We start from the raw sequence: 22,698 nt of genomic DNA, 5'->3' as shown, positions 1-22,698 counted from the left end.
CGCAATATTAACCTAATTGTCAACAACGACATTTCTAATGGGTAAGAACTTACATTTAAAGTTAATATATAAATATAAATTCTCCAAAAAACATTATCTACTTTTCCCACATCAAATAAAAACAAATCTAGACTTAGGTAAAGAAAACCTTTATAGAAAAGGTTTATTTTTAAAAGGAGAGGTAGCTATTGCGATACAATTATGCATCACTTAAGGCAGGGATACATTCTGAGAAACATATCATTAGGTGACTTTGTCACACAAACATCATACAGCGTACTTACACAAGCCCAGATAGTATACCTTATGACATTCCTAGGCTATATGATATAGTTTATGGCTCCTAGGCTACAAACTTGTACCGAATGTCGCAGACAATTGTAATAAGAGAGGAGGTAGAAAGAAACTAGCTAGGCAGATGGTTAGGGCAGAGTCCTTGGCAGAACTTCCCTTCTAACAAAAAGCAGCCCAAGAAATCACTTTTAACAAAAAGTAGCCTGGAAGATCGGGCTGTAAACATAGATAAGGAAGCATCTCGGACACAAAGCAGGAGCTTCCTGGGTAATCAGCAAGCTTCACACACATAAGGTAGGTCCCGGTAAGCACACACCTTTCTTTTCTGGGGACATATTTAGATAAGGAAGCTGGAAGCTTGCACGGGGTAGGAGGATGCCTGCAGCTGCACCAATAGAAGGTACTACCTTGGGCCAGGCACGTGGACCATGGGGTCTCTGCTCCCACACCTTTTTTAGCACGTGCACAGTAGGAAAGAGATAAGCAACATGGAGTAGCTTAGGCTAAGGACAAGCCTGAATAATAAAAGGTTGGGATTGTGGCTGCTAGAGATCTGTGCTTTATGAAAATGACACATCTGGTTCGAACTGGTTTTTCGTGCCATATGTAGATAAAGTACCCCCTCCCCACTAGCTCCTTTATTAAAACCCTTGCATTTTACTGTGGAACAGCAACCCTTTTTGGGACCTCTTTCTGAAGCAGAGAGCTACTCTCTTTTGCCTATTAAACTTCTGCTCTAACCTCACCCTTGGTATGTCTGCGTCTTTGATTCCCTTGGCCATGACCAAGAACTTCGGGTGCCACCCCAGGCAATGAGGCCATTTCAGTAACACAATAGTAAGTATGTGTGTATCTAAACATATCTAAACATAGAGAAAGGTACAGTAAAAAAATATTACAATCTTATAGGACCACTGTTGTATATGTGGTCTGTTCTTATCCAAAATGTCATAAATAATTGATATACATAAATGAAAATCAATTAGTATGTTTTTAAATGAAAGAAAGTATTTACCTCTCTTTTAAAACAGACAAAAGTAAGGTCATCAAAAAGAAATGTTTATTTTTTCACTAAAGATTATCAGATACTGATTTTTTATATCTTCCCCAACATAGTATTTTATAATTCACAAATGAAAATAAGAAATAATTATATCCAAATAAGTTCCCTCTTTTAAAAATTTCATGTTGTTTACTTATGTTAAAATGAAGAATGGCTACAGGGAATGCTCATTAAAAAAAATACAATAGCCAGGGCGCAGTGGCTCATGCCTGTAGTCCCAGCACTTTGGGAGGCCGAGACTGGCAGATCACTTGAAATCAGGAGTGTGAGAGCAGCCTGCCCAACACTGTGAAACTCTGTCTCTACTAAAAATACAAAAATTAGCTGGGCATGGTGGCGCACGCCTGTAATTCCAGCTTCTCGGGAGGCTGAGGCAGGGGAAACGCTTGAACCCGGGAAGTGGAGGTTGCAGTGAGCCGAGATCTCACCATTGCACTCCAGCCTGGGCAACAAGAGCAAAAATCTGTCTCAAACAAAACAAAACAAAACAAAAACAAAAACAAACAATAAATTAACTTTTAAAAATTCAGTGCTAAATCTCATTTTTCATTCTACTATTGACAATTCTATTGACTATTACTTTTTAATGTCCATGTGCTCAAAGTCCATTTTTAAAGGATGTTTGCAAAACCTAGATGCAGCATTCTTTGACAAAGAATGATTCAGAAAGATCAGTTTCAAATCTTTCAAATGTCACAAACGTCATAATTATTTTAGTACTATAATATGATAGTTTATGTCCACAATATTAAACTGTTTTCCTTTATCTGTGTTTCTAGTAAATTGCTCTCCTACTTTGACCTGGGTATTTTTTATTTCATATATAAATTATATTTTGCTTTTGAAGGCTATCAGTTCTTGTTATGTTGAAATTACATACTTTTAACATAAAATTTATCTTTTCAATATGAAATTTCCCTGTATAATACAGATTCTAATTAACCTTACTTTCCAATCATATAAAAATTGAGAAAATATGCTCATCTTTAAAAAATATAATAAATAGAACATGTCCTTATTATTGACAAGAAATCACAAATAAAAGTTCCTTATATGTAAGACTATATTGTGTGATTCACATTAATATTGAGAATGTGACATTTACTAAATTGATGAAAATGTCATGTGGAATTGTCTCATAAACAAATTAAAATTCTGTTATGTTTTCTCCACTATGACTTTATGGTTATGTCAAGTTAGTTTAATGTAATATGTAAGTTTTTGTGCTAATATTTAGAGGAGAAATTCAAGCAATTAAAAGAAGTTTTCTTTTCATAATTTTTTTTAGGTCAAGAATACTAACTGACAGCACAAAGGAAAAGTATTTACCTCCTCTATTCCTCATTTGTTTTATATTGATAACAGAGATACATTGTCATTATTTATGTGATATGACATTGAATTTCCTTATCGGTTTCTGATACTATATATTAAATATGAATATATTCTTAAAACTAATGTTATAGTGTGACTATTTCCTCTACACATTTTGGAACTGGTCTAAAAATATGTTCATGAAAATAAATAAATTGTTTAGAAAGTGGTAGTGTGTTTCCAGAAACAATAGGCATTTTGACATTGTATAAAAAGAAATAATTTTTATAAAAGAAAAAAAATTGTTACATCCTGTATCAGAAAGTACTAAAACTTACAGAATGTGTTTTTTTCCTACTTACAATGCTTTTCATTTTATTTTGTATTTACTTTCACAAGTAGTTTCCCATATGAATGAATCTGAACAACTAGTGTATGAAACAAGTAGCCGTAAATTGTTCTTTCTCAAATAGCAGCTATGTCACACAAAAGATAAGAATAAATCAAAGAAGGAAACCACTCATTTCTATTGTTATGTATTCAACATGCATTTATTGTGTGCCTTCTATATTCTGAGTAATGTGCTGGATAGCAGGCATAAAAGTTGAATGATGCTAGGAATTATGCACATAAGTTGTTATGGTAACATAAAATAAATATGCTACCCTATTGGGAGGTGAAAGAAAAGTTCAGAGAAACAGTTTCCTTGGAATTCAGTTATGAAGTAGGAGAAGGAGAAAACTATACAGAGAGGGTAGAAAGTCATTCAGAGCAGAGAACAGAATGTATAAACTTTTGATGATATAAAACACCCTGATGCAGGTTGAGAATTCAGTAGTGGTCTATCACTGGAGTGCAGTGGGGAGAAACAAAGCAAAACACAGCTGAGGACCAAACTGTGAAGAACATTAATTGCTAAGTTATTCAAAAATTTGTCTTAAAGTTATTGGTGCATTTTAAGAAAAACAATCTCATTAATTAGCATTTAAGAAGAATTACATATAATTATTTATGAGACAAATGTAATTGGAGATAGAGATATGCTTTAGGAAGCTATGATAATAAGATATTTGAGAAGTAATATGCACATAAAGTAAATTGCCATGTGGAAAAAAAAGAGAAGAAGGATGTAAGAGATATTAAAGTGGTAAAACTGATAAAATTTGACTGGTTAGAGGGTTTGTGATGATAGAGAAAATCATATTTGTAATGGCTTTTAATTTTCTGGAGTTGGCGACTGGGCAAATGGAGATGTTAATCATAAGGGCCCAGAACGAAGAAAGGGCAATAGGACATGAGGAATAGATGATACTTTTAGATTGAAGTACATTAGTGACATCCAGATGAAAATTACTGTTTGTCATATATAAGTGTACTGTATTAGTAAGTAGAGATATAAGTTGCATATTATCACTTTAAATTTAATATACAAGGAAGATACATTTATGTTAATGTTTTAAATAAGCAGGCTTTAAAATATCAAGAATTTTTGAAAATTGTGTGAATTCCATGTACTTTATCAACGAGAGAGAACATCAATGAAAGAAAAGGTTAAATGTTAGGGTAAAAGAGGTTAACAAAAACTGAAGAATTATAACCTCATCATTGTAATTAGCACCATTAATTGTTCACTTGTCCAGTGAAACTTGAGGAAATAAGAGGTAATTATTACCCCTCATTTGACCTAGAAAATCATAATTATTTTGAATCAAAAGTTCTGTAGATTTTAATTTACAATTTATTTTGGTCAGTTGTTACTTGCAACTGGTCAGTTGCAAAGTTTGGTCAGTTGCAAAGTTTGCAGAAGCGAAGTTTGGTCAGTTGAACTAAGCAATGAAAATGTCTCTGAAGAAATTTACCACTTTAATGCTTGTAAATCCCAGAGTTATGGATAGAACTTGTAGAACTGGATGTAATGCCTAATATCATTACATTTAGGAAAGAGAAAGAATGATTGTATAAAATACTTGTCAAGATAATTTGTTTGTAAATAACTACTCAAGTACACATGGCTTAGACAATGAGTGCACAGTCTATTTCATATAATAAGAATTCTGGAGACCAGGTCACTTTTCAGATGTCTACTCCTTTATTCTTAGAATCTTGACTTATTCTCAGGTTACTCTCTCTGAATTTAAGATGGCTACAACAGCTTCAATTTCCATGATTCCAACAGCGTGAAGAAAGGGATAGTTTTCTTTGTATCTTCTCTTTGAAATATAGATAGAATTGATTGACTGAAGCTCACCCAGCATCATCTTCCTGTACCATTTTCCAGGCTTTATTCAAATGCAAACCATTAAACTTGTCTCTATCAAAGAGTCACAAGCTATGAAATGGAGATAAGACAGAGTGATATTCTCTTGTAACACTAAACATGAACAAATCTTGAGTATTTTTATTAATAAGTAGAAATGACTGTTGGATTGACAAGCAAATATGTTTACCATATTTTGCTATATCTAAATATATTTTAGGTGTGTTAATATTGATAACTATAATATGCCATTTGGACAAAATTTCTCCTAATATACTGGAAATATCCAGAGGAAACTTCTTAGATTTCTTAGTTTTAATTTCTTCAGAATGTAGCACAGGAACTGGTTCATCATAAGTACTTAAACACATTTCTATAGAATGAATAAATACATCTGCAAAATAGCTTTTATTGTACACTCCATCTACTAAAAACGACAACAAAATACCCAGGAACTCTTCAATGAAAATAATCAGAGAATTTCTGAAAACCCTGCTGCAAACATACTACTCTCGAACTTCAATGTCTCCTCAGAATGTAAACTTAACATTTACTACTGAAAGATGTATTTCAGACTTCTTGTTACGATAGAATAATAGGGACTGAATTTATCCTCTCAGGGGATCAACTAAAAAAAAATGCTAGGAATAATATAAGAAGGTGTAATTTATAAGATATTAGAAATCAGGTCACAAAGAAAAATAACCTCCATGAGATGGATACAAAACAAAGTAGTCTTTTTTGTTGGTTAGCTAACTAAACAATATCTCTAATACTTTATTCTTATTCCTTCTTTTTTTTTTTAATCAATCATCAATTCTCGATATATCTAGGTAGATCTCCCTGGGCCAACACTCTTGTATTTCTTTTGCACATGTCTTCAGCTTCTTTTCCCCTCTCTGCTTTTCACTACTAAAAACATGTAGCCACGTTGTTATGGGATGAATTACACTCTTCTTTCCTTAGTCCAGATGTTAAAGTCCTAAAACAATATCCCAGAATGTGACATTATTTCAACATTTGGTTATTGATGATGTAATTAATGAAGATGAGGTAATTGGGGGGGAGTCCTACTCCAGTATAGCTGGTATCCTTATAAAATGGGGGAATTTGGACACAAAAACTTCACACATGTGAAGATAAAGGCAGATATCAAGGTGGTGCTTCTGCAGCAACTTAAAAAATGACAAATTCGGCCGAGGCAGGCAGAACATGGTGAAACCCCATCTCTACTAAAAATGCAAAAAATTAGCCGGGCATGGTGGCTGGCACCTGTAGTCCCAGCTACTTGGAAGGCTGAGGCAGGAGAACGGTGTGAACCTGGGAGGCCAAGCTTGCAGAAAGCCGAGATCGCGCCACGGCCCTGCAGCCTGGGCAACAGAGCAAGACTCCATCTCAAAAAAAAAAAAAAAAAAAAATGACAAACTCATGCCAAAGGTTTTCAACAAACCATCAGAAGCTAGACAAGAGGAATGGAACCGATTCTTTATCATAACCCTCAGAAGGAACCACCCACACCAATACCTTAATCTTGGACTTCTGTCCTCCAAAACTGTGAGACAATTTTCAGTTGTTTAAGCTACCAGTTAGTGATTTGTTATAGCAGCCCTGGGAAATTAATATACCTCGATGTACATCACATTTTTCCACTTCATGACTATTACCATCAAGCCAGGTTTACTCAAATAAAATGATACAATAATTTAATTATATATCATCACCTAGCCTAGTGTGATCACCAAAGTTTATTAAATAAGGACGGCATTGTTTCAAGAATGCCTAAAAATAGTATGCCATACCCTTAGCAAACATTTCATTCCTTCCAACTTTCCCAGTAACTCCCATTCTATTTCCTAATTTTTATCTGCTAAATCTGTCTTTGTTCATACAATATAAATTAGTTCATACAATATAAATTAATCTTTAATTTAATGAATATTCATTAAAATATCTCATTTTATTTTGCTTTACCTTATTGTACTTTGCAGATGTTTCATTATTTAAAAATTTAAAGTTTATGGCAACCCTATATAAAACAAGTCTATCAACACTATTTTTTCAATAGCATGAATTGACTTTGTGTCTCTTTGTCATATATTGGTAATTATTCAATATATAAAATGTTTTCTTTATTATTATATCTATTATGGTGATCTATAATGAGTGATCTTTGATGTTACTATTGTGATTTTTTTTGGTGGGAGGTTGCCAGAAACCATGCTTATATATGACATAATTGATAAATGCTGTGTATGTCTGACTGCTTCACCAACTAGCCATTCCCCTGTTTCTTTCCCTTTCCCCAGATTTCCCTATTCCCTGAGACACGATAATATTAAAATTAGCCAATTAATAATTCTATAATGGCCTCTAAGTGTTCAAGTGAAAGGAAGAGTCACAAGTCTCTCATTTTAAATGAAAAGTTAGACATAATTAAGCTCAGTGAGGAAGGCATGTCGAAAGCTGAGATAGGCCAAAAGCTAGGCCTCTTGCACTAAACAGGCAGCAAAGTTAGAAATGCAAAGAAAAAGCTCTTGAAGGAGATGAAAAAGGCTACTTCAGTGAACCCATAAATGATAAGACAGCTAAACAGCCTTATGGCTTATATGGAGAAAGTTTTAGCCATCCAAATAGACAATCAGACAAGCTACAATGTTCCCTTAAGCCAAAGTCTAATCCAGAGCAAGACTCTAACTCTTTAATTCTATAAAGTCTGAGTGAGGTGAGGAAGCTAAAGAAGGAAAGTTTGAGCAGAAGTTGGTAAACAAGGTTAAAGAAAAAGTCGTCTTCATAAAAGGGCAAGATGAAGCAGCAAGTGCTAATGGAGAAGTTGCAGCAAGTTATCCAGAAGATACCCAAGATAATTAATAAACATAGCTACACAAAACAATAGATTTTGAATGTAGACAAAACAGTCTTATAGTAGAAGAAGATGCCATCCTGGACATTCAAAGCTAGAGAAAGAATATTAGTGCCTAGCTTCAAAGCTTCAACGGACAAGCTGACTTTCTTGTTAAGGGCTAACGAAGCTGATGGCTTTAAGTTGAAGCCAATGATCATTTACCATTTCAAAAATCTTCTAAACCTTTAGAATTAAGGCAAATTTTTAATGCCTGTGCTGTATAAATGGAACGACAAATCCTGAAGACAATGCATCCATTTATAGCATGGTTTACTAAATATTTTAAGCCCATTATGACGATCTACTAATCAGAAATTAAAAAAAAAATTTTAAACTATACTTGCTCATTTAAAATATACCTCATCATCCAAGATGTCTGTTGAAGATGTACAAGGACATTAAAGTTGTTTTTATGCCTGCTAACACAACACCCTTTCCACAGCCCATGGGTCCAGGAGTAATTTTGACCTTCAAGTCTTATTTAATAACCATATTTCATAGCTGACATAGATAGTAATTTCTCTGATGGATGTGGGCAAAGTAAATTTAAAACTTTTTGGGAACAATTCACTATTCTAGATCTATTAAAAACATTTATGAATCATGGAAGGAGGTCGAAATATCAAGTATCAACAGAAGCTCAAGAAAAGTTTCCTCCAACACTCATGAATGACTTTGAAGGATTCAAGACTTCAGTGGTGGAAGTAATTGCAGATTAATGAAAACAGCAAGAGAAATAGAACTAGAAGTGAGTCTTACGATGCAACAGAATTGCTAAAATCTCATGATAAAAGTTAAGCGGATGAGGAGTTTTTTCTTATAGATGGTCAAAGAAAGTAGTTTCTTGAGATGAAATCTAATTCTGATGAAGATATCATGAACGTTAATGAAATAATAACAAAGCATTTAGAGTATTACATAACCTGAGTTGATAAATCAGTGGCAGGAGTTGAGAGGACTGATTCTAATTGTGAAAAAAGTTCTACTGTGGATAAAATGCAATCAAGCAGCATCGCATGCTAAAAAGAAATCTTTCATGAAAGGAAGAGTCAATCAACGTGTCATTCTTCATTGTCCAATTTTAAGAAATTGCCACAGCCACTCCTACCTCCAGTAACAACCACCTTGATCAGTCAGCTGCCATCAACATTGAGGCAAGACCCTACACCAGAAAAACTATTATAACTGGCTGAAGCTCTGATGATAGTTAACATTTTTAAGCAATAAAGTATTTGTAATTAGATATGACATTATTTTTAGCCATGTGTTATTGAATACTTTGATTATAGTACATGTGTAAATATAACTTTTATATGTGCTGGAAAACCAAAAAAAAGTGTGATTTGCTTTATTGTGTTATTTGTTTTATTGCTGTGGTCTTGAACTGAACTTGCATCACCAAAGTATGCCTGTTTTGAATTCCTAATAAATGCTAGACCTATAAGAGCTAACAGAATATCAGTGATTAATACATTTACATTGTATACATATTCTAGAAGGTGCATCAAGGGGTGACAATACATGGACAGTAAGTAAAATAAGTATTGGTTGTAATTAATTATTTAAACATAATGAGAAATTGAATGATATGGAGTATATTGGGAAAATATATATCTAACGCAGAAAAGGTATAAGGTAAGTCAGTCTGGAAAACTGATAATCTGAGATTTAAAAAGAGGATATTATGAAAGTGTAAGTAAAAACAAATTGACAATGTCTGGAAGCTCAAATTTTGTCTGAAGAACCAAATTTTGTCTAAGGATTTTAAATAAAATGTACATAGCTAAAGGAGGAAGATTAGATCAGAGGAAGAATGGCAAGATATTTGATAGAAACAGGAACATTTCATTAAGATTTTTTGTAGACCAGAGTAAGGGGTTTGCTTTTTAGTGCAATGGTAAGTTATTGAATAGTTTTAGCTTTAACAGGACTTGGTAGAATTTATATTTATGGTCATTTTTATTGATACAGTAGATTTTTTATAATCAGTAAAGGTGTAAGAAAAATAATTTTGCATAGATTTTAATAAGGTAAAATGAATATGATGACTGCTTGAACTAATAACATAAAAGTGCAGATGAGAAAAATTAAAAATTCAAATTTATTTTGAAGGTAATATTTATAGTGCTTGCTGTTGAATTATATGGGGAGGCAATAAAAAGGAACATTCAAAAGTTTTTTTCTAACTTTTGACTTGAAAAACTTTGAGGATTTTTATAACATAAAAATGGGGAACTGCGTTTGCAGAATGGCAAATAAACAATGGTATTGATATATCTATGGATAGATGTAAAAAGTGTTACCTTAAATGTAAGTCCAGAGCTTAGGCAAATTTCTTAAACCTGGGGACTATTGAATACAAATATGACTTCCTTTTTCTACTACCATATTTTCTGCCTGAATCTTTATCCATCTTTTCTTTGTAATCTCTGGTTATCTTCTTATGTTTTGACATGTCTATAGGAAAGCATTTCGCATTCTATCAAACATCAATTATTATATGTGTATATGCTTATATTAGCCCATTCTCACACTGCTATAAAGAACTACCTGAGACTGGGTAATTTATAAATAAAAGAGGTTTAATTGACTCACAACTCTGTAAAACTGGGGAGGCCTCAGGAAACTTAAAATAATGGCGGGAGGTGAAGGTGAAGCAAGGAATATCTTACATGATGGCAGAAGAGAGAGAAAGGTGAACTGTCACAAACTTTCGAACCATCAGATCTCAAGAGAACTCACTTGCTATCATGAGGACAGCATGGGGGAATTCTCCTCCATGATCCAATCACCTCCTACCTGGTCCCTTCCTCAACACATGGAGATTACAATTAGAGATGAGATTTGGGTGGTGACACAGAACCAAACCACATTGTTCTACCCTAGCCCCTCCCAAATCTCATGTTCTTCTCACATTTCAAAACACAATCATGCCTTTCCAATGGTCCCCCAAAGTCTTCACTCATTCCAGCACTAACCCAAAAATCCATGTCCAAAACCTCATATGAGACAAGGGAAGTTTCTTCCACCTACGAACCTGTAAAAAAAAATGAAGTTAGTTACTTCCATGATACAATGGAAATACAGGAGTTGGGTAAATGCTCTCCTTCCAAATGGGAGAAACTGGCCAAGATGAAGGGGATACAGGCCCCTTGAAAGTCCAAAACTCAGCGGGGCAGTCATTAAATCTTTAAGCTCCAAAGTAATCTCCTATGACTCCATGTCTCATATTCAGGGCATGCTGATGCAAAGGGTGGGCTCCCAAGGCTTTAGGCAGCTCTGCCCCTGTTGCTCTACTGGGTACAGCCCCCACAGCTGCTTTCACAAGCTGGCTTTGAGTGCCTGCAGCTTTTCCCGGTACACCATGCAAGCTGTCAGTGGATCTACCATTCTGGGGTCTGGAGGACTGTGGCCCTCTTCTCACAGCTCCACTACTCAGTGCTCCAGTGGGGACTCTGTGTGGGGGCTCCCATCCCACGTTTTCCCTCTGCATTGCCCTCGTAGTTTCTCCATGATGGCTCTGCCCCTGCAGCAGACTTCTGCCTGGATATCTAAGTGTTTCCATACATCCTCTGAAATCTAAGTGGAGGTTCCCAAACCTCACCTCTTGTCTTCTGTGTACCCACAGGACCAACACTGTGTGGAAACCTCCATGGCTTGTGGCTTTCTCTCTCTGAAGTAATAGCCCCAGCTGTATCTTGGCCCCTTTTAGCCATGGCTGGAGCTGGAGCAGCTGGGACACAAGGTTCACAGAGCAGCAGGGCTCTGAGCCTGTCCCACGAAATCATTTTTCTCTCTTAGGTCTCTGGGCCTGGGATGAGAGGATCTGCCACAAAGGTCTCTGACATGTCCTGGAGACATTTTCCTCACTTTCTTGGTGATTAACATTTGGAACCTCATTACTTATGCAAATTTCTGCAGCTGACTTGAATTTCTCCTCAGAAAATAAGTTTTTATTTTCTATTGCATCCTCAGACTGCAAATTTTCCAAACTTTTATGCTCTGTTTCCCTTTTGAAACTGAATGCTTTTGAAAGCACCCATGTCAACTCTTGAGTGCTTTGCTGCTTGGAAATTTCTTCTGCAAGATACCCTATATCTTCTCTCTCAAGTCGAAAATTCCACAAACGTCTAGGTCAGGGGCAAAACACTGCCAGTCTCTGCTAAAACTTAGCAAGAGTTACCTTTACTCAAGTTCCCAACAAGTTTCTCATCTCCATCTGAGACCACCTCAGCCTGGACTTCATTGTCCATATCACTATCTGCACTTTATCATAATCATTTGACAAGTCTCTGGGAAGTTTTAAAGTTTTCCTCCGCTTTCTGTCTTTTTCTGAGCCCTCCAAACTGTTCCAAACTCTGCCTGTTACCCAGTTCCAAAGATTTTCAGTATCTTTATAGCAGTGCTCCAAACTCCTGGTACCAATTTTCTGTATTAGTCTGTTCTCACACTGCTATAAAAAACTACCTGAGACTGGGTAATTTATAAACAAAAGAGGTTTAATGAACTCACAGTTCCACATGGCTGCGGAGGCCTCAGGAAACTTACAATCACGGCAGAAAGTGAAGGGGAAGCAAGGCACATCTTACATGGTGGCAGGAGAGAGTGAGAGAGAAGTGGGAACTTCCACAAACTATTAAACCATCAGATTTTGTGAGAACTCATTCACTATCACAAGAACAGCGTGGGGGAAATTGCCCCCGTGATCCAATCACTTCCCACCAGGTACCTTCCTGGGCACATGGGGATTACAATTTGAGATGAAATTTCGGTGGGGAGAGAGAGCCAAACCATATCAACCCTAAAAGAGCATTGCAGTCTGTAATATTCACAATTTGTTACAGACTCATATTATTCTATGTTATGTTAAATTTATTCTCCTCCTCTGGATCATTCCCTCCTAGATTCAATCTTCAGTCTCTACTGAATCATTTTCATCAGCATTAATCATGCTCTAATTCAGGAGTTGATACTGATGTTTTTGTTTATGTTTTTCTTATTTTACATTGATTGTTCGTTGTATCCTCATATGATTTATATGGTAATCATATGCTATTTAATTTAAACCCATGTGTACACACACACTATAGCAATTGCCTAGTTAAAATGACTATTTCAATGATGCACAGAAATCTCAACTTGGAACTAAAATAGTGATTTTCCTAAATAAATATTTCTCTAATATTATTTTTCAAAATGTAAAATATCACCTATTCATGAGCTAGATAAATTTTTTAGCCATCTCTGGAACAACCATCCAAAACCAAACTCTGACTTGACTAAGAAGTGGGCACATGACTAATAGATCTGCTACTTAGAATTTAAGGGATTTATGAAATCATAATTATGATCAGATGATAATTATTGATGTTGAGATCTGTTCTTTACCCAATACATCACATAGATGATGTAATAGATTTAGAGATTCTTAATGGTATTATAATCCCAAATTCTCAATAGTTTACAAAAAACGAACATGTATTTATCATGCACTTTGTATACTTTTTGGAGTTGGCTAGCTCTGCTTCACAGCTTTTTATTTTGCAGTCTCTAGGACTAGTGTCTATCAGGAAATATTGTTCTCAAAGAGGGGGAAAAGTGATAGCAGAATTTTATCTGGGTTTAAAGTGTCTGCTTAAAAGTGAAATACATTACTTCTCAGATTTTACTGGGCAAAAAGTTGTACCAGAAATGCTGAGGTCAGATGAATAACCTCTTTTCAGAAATAAGCTTGGCAGTGAGGGTGGCATAGAAAAATGAAATTTCTATTTATTATATAAGTTTTGGAATACACAGAAAAGATAATTTTATTTTACAGTGAACTCCCATACAACTACTTTCTTAGTTTGTTCAGGCTGTCATAAAAAAATAACATAGACTAAATGGCTTGCACAGCATTTTTTTTCTCTTTCTCACAGTCCTAGAGGCTGAGGAGTCCAAAATCAAGGTACCAGACAGTTCAAATCCTAGTGAGGCTCTTTCTGGCTTGGCAATGGCCAGCTTCTCCCTGTCTTCTCACATGGCAGAAAAGGAGCTCTGGTGTTTCTTTCTCTCATAAAAACACCAGTCCTGTCCAATTAAGGGCCTACTTTTACAATCTCACTTAAGCTTTATTGCCTCCTCACAGACCCTATCTCCACATACAGTCACATTGGGTTTCAATGTATGCATTTTGAGTTGATACAAAACTGCAATCTGTAATACTCACAATCTAGACTCTTTTATTAACATTTTATTATATTTGTTTTATTAGAGACTTCCCAATTTATTTGTTGATGCATTCAAATTAAACTGTAGACATCTGTACACTTTATGCTAAATGCTTTAGCATGCATGACATTAACTAAAACAATATTTTTTGAGTTTGGCTTTTGCCTTAAAATTTCTTTGTCAGGAAATATACAAATCTAAGTGTGTATTCCTTATGCTTTGAAAAATGCATACAGCTGTGTAACCTCAAACTGTATCAATATACAGAACATTACAAAAACCTCAAAGAGTTCCCTCATGCTCCTCTCCAATCAATCCCCATCACCACTGTTAGGACTTTTCCCAGAATAGATTAAATTTGCTTATAGTATAATTCAATATAAAGTCTTTCATTGCTTACACTTTTTTTATTATTATACTTTAAGTTTGGGGTATATGTTCAGAACATGCAGGTTTGTTACACAGGTATACACATGACATGGTGGTTTGCTGTACTCCTCAACCCATCATCTACATTAGGTATTTCTCCTAAAGCTATCCCTCCCCTAGTCCCCCACACCCCGACAGGCCCTGGTGTGTGATGTTCCCCTCTGAGTGTCCATGTGTTCTCATCATTCAACTCCCATTTATGAGTGAGAACATGCAGTGTTTGGTTTTCTGTTCTTGGGTTAGTTGGCTGAGAATGATAGTTTCCAACTTCATCCATGTCCCTTTGAAGGACATACACTCATCCTTTTTATGGCTGCATAATATTCCATGGTGTATATGTGCCACATTTTCTATATCCAGTCTATCATTGATGGGCATGTGGGTTGGTTCCAAGTCTTTGCTATTGTGAACAGTGCCATAATAAACATACATGTGCATGTGTCTTTATAGTAGAATGATTTATAATCCTTTGGGTATATACCCAGTAATGGGATTGGCTGAGCCAAATGGTATTTCTAGTTCTAGATCCTTGAAGAATCACCACACTGTCTTCCACAATGGTTGAACTAATTTACACTCCCACCAACAGTGTAAAAGCATTCCTATTTCTCCATATCCTCTCCAGCATCTGCTGTTTCCTGACTTTTTAATGATCGCCATTCTAACTGGCGTGAGATGGCATCTCATTGTGGCTTTGATTCACATTTCTCTAATGACCAGTGATGATTAGCTTTTTTTCATATGTTTGTTGTCCTCATAAATATCTTTTGAGAAGTGTCTGTTCATATCCTTTGCCCACTTTTTGATGGAGTTGTTTTTTTCTTGTAAATTTGTTTAAGTTATTTGTAGATTCTGGAGATTAGCCCTTTGTCGGATGGATAGATTGCAAAAAATTTCTCCCATTCTGTAGGCTGTCTGTTCACTCTGATGATAGTTTCTTTTGCTGTGCAGAAGCTTTTTAGTTTATTAGATCCCATTTGTCTATTTTGCCTTTTGTTGTCACTTCTTTTGGTGTTTTAGTCATGAAGTCTTTGCCCACGCCTATGTCCTGAATGGTATTGCCTAGGCTTTTTTCTAGGGTTTTTACGGTTTTAGGTCTTACATTTAAGTTTTTAATACATTTTGAGTTAAATTTTATATGAGTTGTAAGGAAGGGATCCAGTTTCTGCTTTCTGCATATGGCTAGGCAGTGTTCCCAACACCATTTGTTGCATAGGAAATCCTTTCCCCATTGCTTGTTTTTGTCAGGTATGTCAAACACTAGATGGTTGTAGATGTGTGGTGTTATTTCTGAGGCCTCTGTTCTGTTCCTTTGGCCTATATATCTATTTTGGTACCAATACCATGTTGATTTTGTTACTGCAGCCTTGTAATATAGTTTGAAGTCAGGTAGCATGATGCCTCCAGCTTTGTTCTTTTTGCTTAGGATCGTCTTGGCTATATGAGCTCTATTTTGGTTCCATATTAAATTTAAAGTAGTTTTTTTTTCCAATTCTGTGAAGAAAGTCAATGGTAGCTTGATGGGGATAGCATTGAATCTATAAATTACTTTGGGCAATATGGCCATTTTCATATTGATTCTTCCTATCCATGAGCATGGAGTGGTTTTCCATTTGTTTGTTTCCTCTCTTATTTCCTAGAGCAGTGGTTTGTAGTTGTCCTTGAAGAGGTCCTTCATATCACTTGTAAGTCGTTTTCCTAGGTATTTTTTCTCTTTGTAGCAATTGTAAATGCAAGTTCATTCATGATCTGTCTCTCTGCTTATCTCTTGTTGGTGTATAGGAATGCTTGTGATTTTTGCACATTGATTTCATATCCTGAGATTTTGCTGAAGCTGCTTATCAGCTTAAGGAGATTTTGGGCTGAGGCGATGGGGTTTTCTAAATATACTTTGATGTCATCTGCAAACACAGACAATTTTACTTCCTCTTTTCCTAATTGAATACCCCTTATTTTTTTTTCTTGCCTGATTGCCCTAACCAGAACTTCCAATACTATGTTGAATATGAGTGGTGAAAGAGGGCATCTTTGTCTTGTGTTGATTTTCAAAGGCAATGCTTCTAGTTTTTGCCATTCAATATGATATTGGCTGTAGGTTTGTCATAAATAGCTCTTATTATTTTGAGATATGTTCCATCAATGCCTAGTTTATTGAGAGATTTTAGCATGAAGGGCTGTTGAATTTTGTCAAAGGCCTTTCCTGTATCTTTTGAGATAATCATGTGGTTTTTGTCATTGTTTCTGTTTATGTGATGGACTATGTTTATTGATTTGCCTGTGTTGAACCAGCTTTGCATCCCAGGGATGAAGCCAACTTGATCGTGGTGGATAAGCTTTTTGATATGCTGCTGGATTCAGCTTGCCAGTATTTTATTGAGAAATTTTGCATCAATGTTCATTAGGGATATTGGCCTGAAATTTTCTTTTTTTGTTGTTTGTCTGCCAAGTTTTGATATCAGGATGATGCTGGCCTCATAAAATAAGTTAGGAAGGATTCCATCTTTTCTATTTCTATTCTTTCTGAATAGTTTCAGAAAGAATGGTACCAGCTCCTCTCTGTACCTCTGGTAGAATTTGGCTGTGAATCCATCTGGTCCTGGACTTTTTTTGGTTGGTAGGCTATTAATTACTGCCTAAATTTCAGAACTTGTTATTAGTCTATTCAGGGACTCAACTTATTCCTGATTTAGTCTTGGGAGGGTATATGTGTCCAGGAATTTATCCATTTCTTGTAGATTTTCTAGTTGATTTGCATGAGGGGTTTATAGTATTCTCTGATGGTAGTTTGTATCTCTATGGGATTGGTGGTGATATACCCTTTATCATTTTTTATTGCATCTATTTTATTCTTTTCTCTTTTCTTCTTTATTAGTCTTGTTAGTGGTCTATGTATTTTGTTGATCTTTTCAAAAAACCAGCTCCTGGATTCGTTGATTTTTTGAAGAGTTTTTTTGTGTCTTTATCTCCTTCAGTTCTGCTCTGATCTTAGTTATTTCTTGTCTTCTGTTTGCTTTTGAATTTGTTTGCCCTTGCTTCTCTAGTTCTTTTAATTGTGATGTTAGGGTGTCAATTTTAGATCTTTCCCATTTTCTCTTGTGGGCTTTTAGTGCTACCAATTTCCCTCTACACACTGCTTTAAATGTGTCTCAGAGATTCTGATATGTTGTGCCTTTGTTCTCATTGATTTCAAGAACATCTTTATCTGCTTTCATTTCATTATTTATCCAGTCGTCATTCAGGAGCAAGTTGTTCAGTTTCCATATAGTTGTGCGGTTTTGAGTGGGTTTCTTAATCCTGAGTTCTAATTTGATTGCAGTGTTGTCTGCGAGACTGTTATGATTTTTTTCTTTTGCATTTGCTGAGGAGTGTTTTACTTCCAATTATGTGATCAATTTTAGAGGAGGTGCAATGTGGTGCTGAGAAGAATGTACATTTTGTTGATTTGGGGTGCAGAGTTCTGTAGATGTCTATTAGGTCTGCTTGGTCCAGAGCTGAGTTCAAGTCCTGGATATCCTTGTTAATTTTCTGTCTCATTGATCTGTCTAATATTGACAGTGGGATGTTAAAGTCTCCCACTATTATTGTGTGGGAGTCTAAGTTTCTTTGTAGGGCTCTAAGAACTTGCTTTATGAATCTAGGTGCTCATTTATTGGGTGCATGTATATTTAGGATAGCTAGCTCTTCTTGTTGCATTGATCCCTTTGCCATTTTGTAGTGCCCTTGTCTCTTTTGATCTTTGTTGGTTTAAAGTCTGTTTTATCAGAGACTAGGATTGCAACCCATGCATTTTTTTGCATTCCATTTGCTTGGTAAATATTCTTCCATCCCTTCATTTTGAGCCTATGTGTGTCTTTGCACATGAAATGGGTCTCCTGAATACAGCACATCAATGGGTCTTGACTCTTTACCCAATTTTTCAGACTGTCTTTTAATTGGGGCATTTAGCCTGTTTACATTTAATGTTAACATTGTTATGTGTGAATTTGATCCTGTCATTGTGATGCTACGCTAGCTGGTTATTTTGGCTGTTAGTTGATGCAGTTTCTTTACAGCGTCGATGGTCTTTACATTTTGATGTTTTTTTTGCAGTGGCTGGTACCGGATGTTCCCTTCCATGTTTAGGGCTTTCTTCAGGGGCTCTTGTAAGGCAGGCCTGGTGGTGACAAAATCTCTCAGCAGTTCCTTGCCCGTAAAGGGTTTTATTTCTCTTTCACTTATGAAGCTTAATTTGGCTGGATATGAAATTCTGGGTTGAAAATTCTTTTAAGAATGTTGAATATTGGCCCCCACTCTCTTCTGGCTTGTAATGTTTCTGTCGAGAGATCCGCTGTTAGTCTGATGGACTTGTCTTTGTGGGTAACCTGACCTTCCTCTCTGGCTGCCCTTAACATTTTTGTCCTTCATTTCAACCTTGGTGAATCTGACAATTGTGTGTCTTGGGGTTGCTCTTCTTGAGGAGTATCTTTGTGGTGTTCTTTGTATTTCCTGAATTTGAATGTTGGCCTGCCTTGCTAGGTTGGGGAAGTTCTCCTGGATAATATTCTGAAGAGTGTTTTCCAACCTGGTTCCATTCTCCCCAACACTTTCAGGTACACCAATCAAATGTAGATTCGGTCTTTTCACACAGTCTCATATTGCCTGAAGGCTTTGTTCATTTCTTTCCACTTTTTTTCTCTAATCTTGTATTCTCCCTTTATTTCATTAAGTTGATCTTCAATCTCTGATATCCTTTCTTCTGCTTGATCGATTTGGCTATTGATACTTGTGTATGCTTCATGAAGTTCTCGTGCTGTGTTTTTCAGCTACATCAAGTCATTTATGTTCTTCTCTAAACTGGTTATTCTAGTTAGCAATTTGTCCAGCCTTCTTTCAAGGTTCTTAGCTTCCTCACATTGGGTTAAAACATGCTTCTTTAGCTCGGAGGAGTTTGTTATTACCCACCTTCTGAAGCCTACTTCTGTCAATTCGTCAAACTCATTCTCGGTCCAGTTTTGTTCCTTTGCTGGAAAGGAGTTGTGATCCTTTGGAGGAGAAGAGGAACTCTGGTTTTTGGAATTTTCTGCCTTTTGCACTGGTTTCTCCTCATCTTCGTAGATTTATCTACCTTTGGTCTTTGAAGTCTATGGCCTTTGGTTGGGGTCTCTGAGTGGATGTCCTTTTTGTTGATGTTGATACTATTCTTTTGTTTGTTAGTTTTCCTTGTATCAGTCAGTCCTCTCTGCTGCAGGTCTGCTGGAATTTGCTGGAGGTGCACTCCAGACCCTGTTTGCCTGAGTTTCACCAGCAGAGGCTGCAGAACAGCAAAGATTGCTGCCTGTTCCTTTCTCTGGAAGTTTTGTCCCGGAGGGGCACCTACCAGATGCCAGCCAGAATTCTCCTCTATGAGGTGTCTGTCGGCCACTTCTGGGAGGTGTCTCCCAGTCAGGATACATGGGGGTGAGGGACCTACACGTGAGGAGGCAGTCTGTCCCTTATCAGAGCTCGAACACTGTGCTTGTAGATCCACTGCTCTCTTCAGGGCTGCCAGGCAGGGATGTTTAAGTCTGCTGAAGCTTGTGCCCACAACTGCCCCTTCCCCTAGGTGCTCTATCCCATGGAGTTGAGGGTTGTATCTATATGTCCCTGACTGGGGCTGCTGCCTTGTTTTTCAGAGGTGCTCTGCTGAGAGAGGAGGGAATCTAGATAGGCAATCTGGCAGTAGCAGCCTTGCTGATCTGCGGTGGGCTCTGCCCAGTTTGAACTTCCCGGCAGCTTTGTTTACACCGTGAGGGTAAAACCTCCTACTCAAGCCTCAGCTATGGCAGATGCCTCTCCCGCTACCAAGCTCGAGCTTCCCAGGTCGATCTCAGACTGCTGTGCTGGCAGTGAGGATTTCAAGCCAGTGGATCTTAGCTTGCTGGGCTCTATGAGAGTGGCACCCGCTGAGCCAGACTACTTGGCTCCCTGGCTTCAGCCCCCTTTCCAGGGAGTAAACATTTCTGTTTTGTCACTACTGGGCTATGAAAAAGAAACTCCTGCCGCTAGCTCTGTCTGCCCAAATGGTCACCCAGTTTTGTTCTGGAAACCCAGGGTCTGGAAGGAATTTCCTGGTCTGTGGGTTGTGAAGACCATGGGAAAAGCACAGTATCTGGGCTGGAGTGCATGGTACAGTCCCTAATGGCTTCCTTTGGTGAGGAGAGGGAGTTCCCCAACCCTCTCCAACCCCAACCTTCGCAGGGTGAGGCAACGCCACACCCTGCTTCTGCTCAACCTTCTTGGGCTGCATCCACTCTCCAACCAGTCCCAATGAGGTGAACCATGTACCTCAGTTGGAAATGCAGAAATCACCTGCCTTCTATGTCAATCTCTCTGAGAGCTGCAGACCAGAGCTGTTCCTATTTGGCCATCTTGCCAGCCTCTTCCATTCCTTACACTTTTATCTATACTTCTTTCACAGTGAAAAATGGTTCTGAGACCCATTCCTGCTGCCTTTTTCAATTTCCCTTTCATTGTTTTTTTCTTTTTTCTGAGAATTCCATTGCTAAAATACACAATTGTTTTACCATTTTCCTCTTCATACACAGTGAGATTATTCATGTTTGGGCTATCATGAATAAAAATTCTAGAAACATTTTTGTAAAAATTTTATTAGAAGTCAATTTTAATTCGGAAGGAGGTTATACCTAGGATTGGAAATGTGTACGTTTAGTTGCTTTTTTTACACAAACTTTCAGACTATTGTCCGAAATTATATGTTTCTATTTTTAATGTCTTAATTCAAGTAATATAAGTCCTCCAAATTTATTTTTCTTTTTTATCATCATTTTAGCTTTTCTAGGTCTTTTGTATTTACACACAAAATTAAGAATTAGTTTCTAATATTAGAGAAACATTAATATTAATTTCTGTACAAGAGATTATTAGAATATGGATGACAGAACTAAATAAACTAATTCTTTCTGTTTCTTTGAAATATGTAACTGTTTCTATAAGGATGAATAAGATGAGGATATGTAAATTCATATGTGGAATAAGATAAAATCAAGTACATTTTTATTATAAGTATATGAAATCTTTACGTAAAATAATGAGTTTTATGCCTTACCTAGATGAATCTCACATAATACTGCTAAAGAAAATACTGTTTTGGCCTGCAGTGGTGGCTCATGTCTGTAATCCCAGTGCTTTGGGAAGCCAAGGTGGGCAGATCATGAGGTCAAGAGATTAAGACCATCCTGGCCAACATGGTGAAAACCTGTCTCCACTAAAAATACAAAAATTAGCTGGGCATGGTGGTGTGTACCTGTAGTCCCAGCTACTCTGGAAGCTGAGGCAGGAGAATCACTTGCCCCCACTAGGCAGAGGTTCCAGCGAGCCATCACGCCACTATACTCTAGCCTGTTGACAGAGTGAGACTCCATCTCAAAAAAAAAAAAGTAATAATTAAAAAAAAGAAAAAAAGGAAATATTGTTTCAAAGTTACTGACAATAGATGTAAAGGTTTTCTCAGTATTTGAGGTTCATAAAAATTAATTAACACAAAAAATCCTGTTTTCATTGCAATTGCTTTTGTAACATATATAGTAAAGTCATGTTGGTTGCACTGGATGTATATAACAAACCTAAAAATATACTACCTAAGTTTCAATTAATTATTTCATTGTCTATGTAGTCTATGATGAAACTATAATAAATACAAATACATTAAGATAATCTCAATTGTAAGATGGAAAAATTGAAATTAAAAATATTTTCTGAATTCTGAACTACTCATGGTCTTAACAAATATTTGACTATTCAGACTAAAACATTTTTCTAAGCTTGTCAAATATTTTTATCTACATATAGAGTATATTTCATAAAATTTGGAGAATACCATCAACCATCACAATATAATTTAGATTTTAAAAAGTAAAATAACTTAGGAGATAAGCTGCATGTATTAATTACACATTTTACATAAAGTAGGCCAGGCGTGGTAGCTCAAGCCTGTAATCCCAGCACTTTGGGAGGCCTAGGTGGGCAGATAACTTGAGGGCAGGAGTTCGAGACAAGCCTGGCCAACAGGACAAAACCTGTCTCTACTAAGAATACAAAAAAAAAATTAGCAGGGCATGGTGGCACATGCCGGTAATCCCAGCTACCCAGGAGGCTGAAGCATGAGAATCATTTGAACCCAGGAGGCTGAGTTTGCTGTAAATCCAGATCGTGCAACTGGTTGCTGTGAGCCAAGATTGTGAAGCTGCACTC

The sequence above is a fragment of the Homo sapiens genome, chromosome 13 (assembly GCF_000001405.40).
Source record: "Homo sapiens chromosome 13, GRCh38.p14 Primary Assembly".
NCBI classification, from domain to species: domain Eukaryota; kingdom Metazoa; phylum Chordata; class Mammalia; order Primates; family Hominidae; genus Homo; species Homo sapiens.
This window is presented reverse-complemented; position numbering follows the sequence as displayed.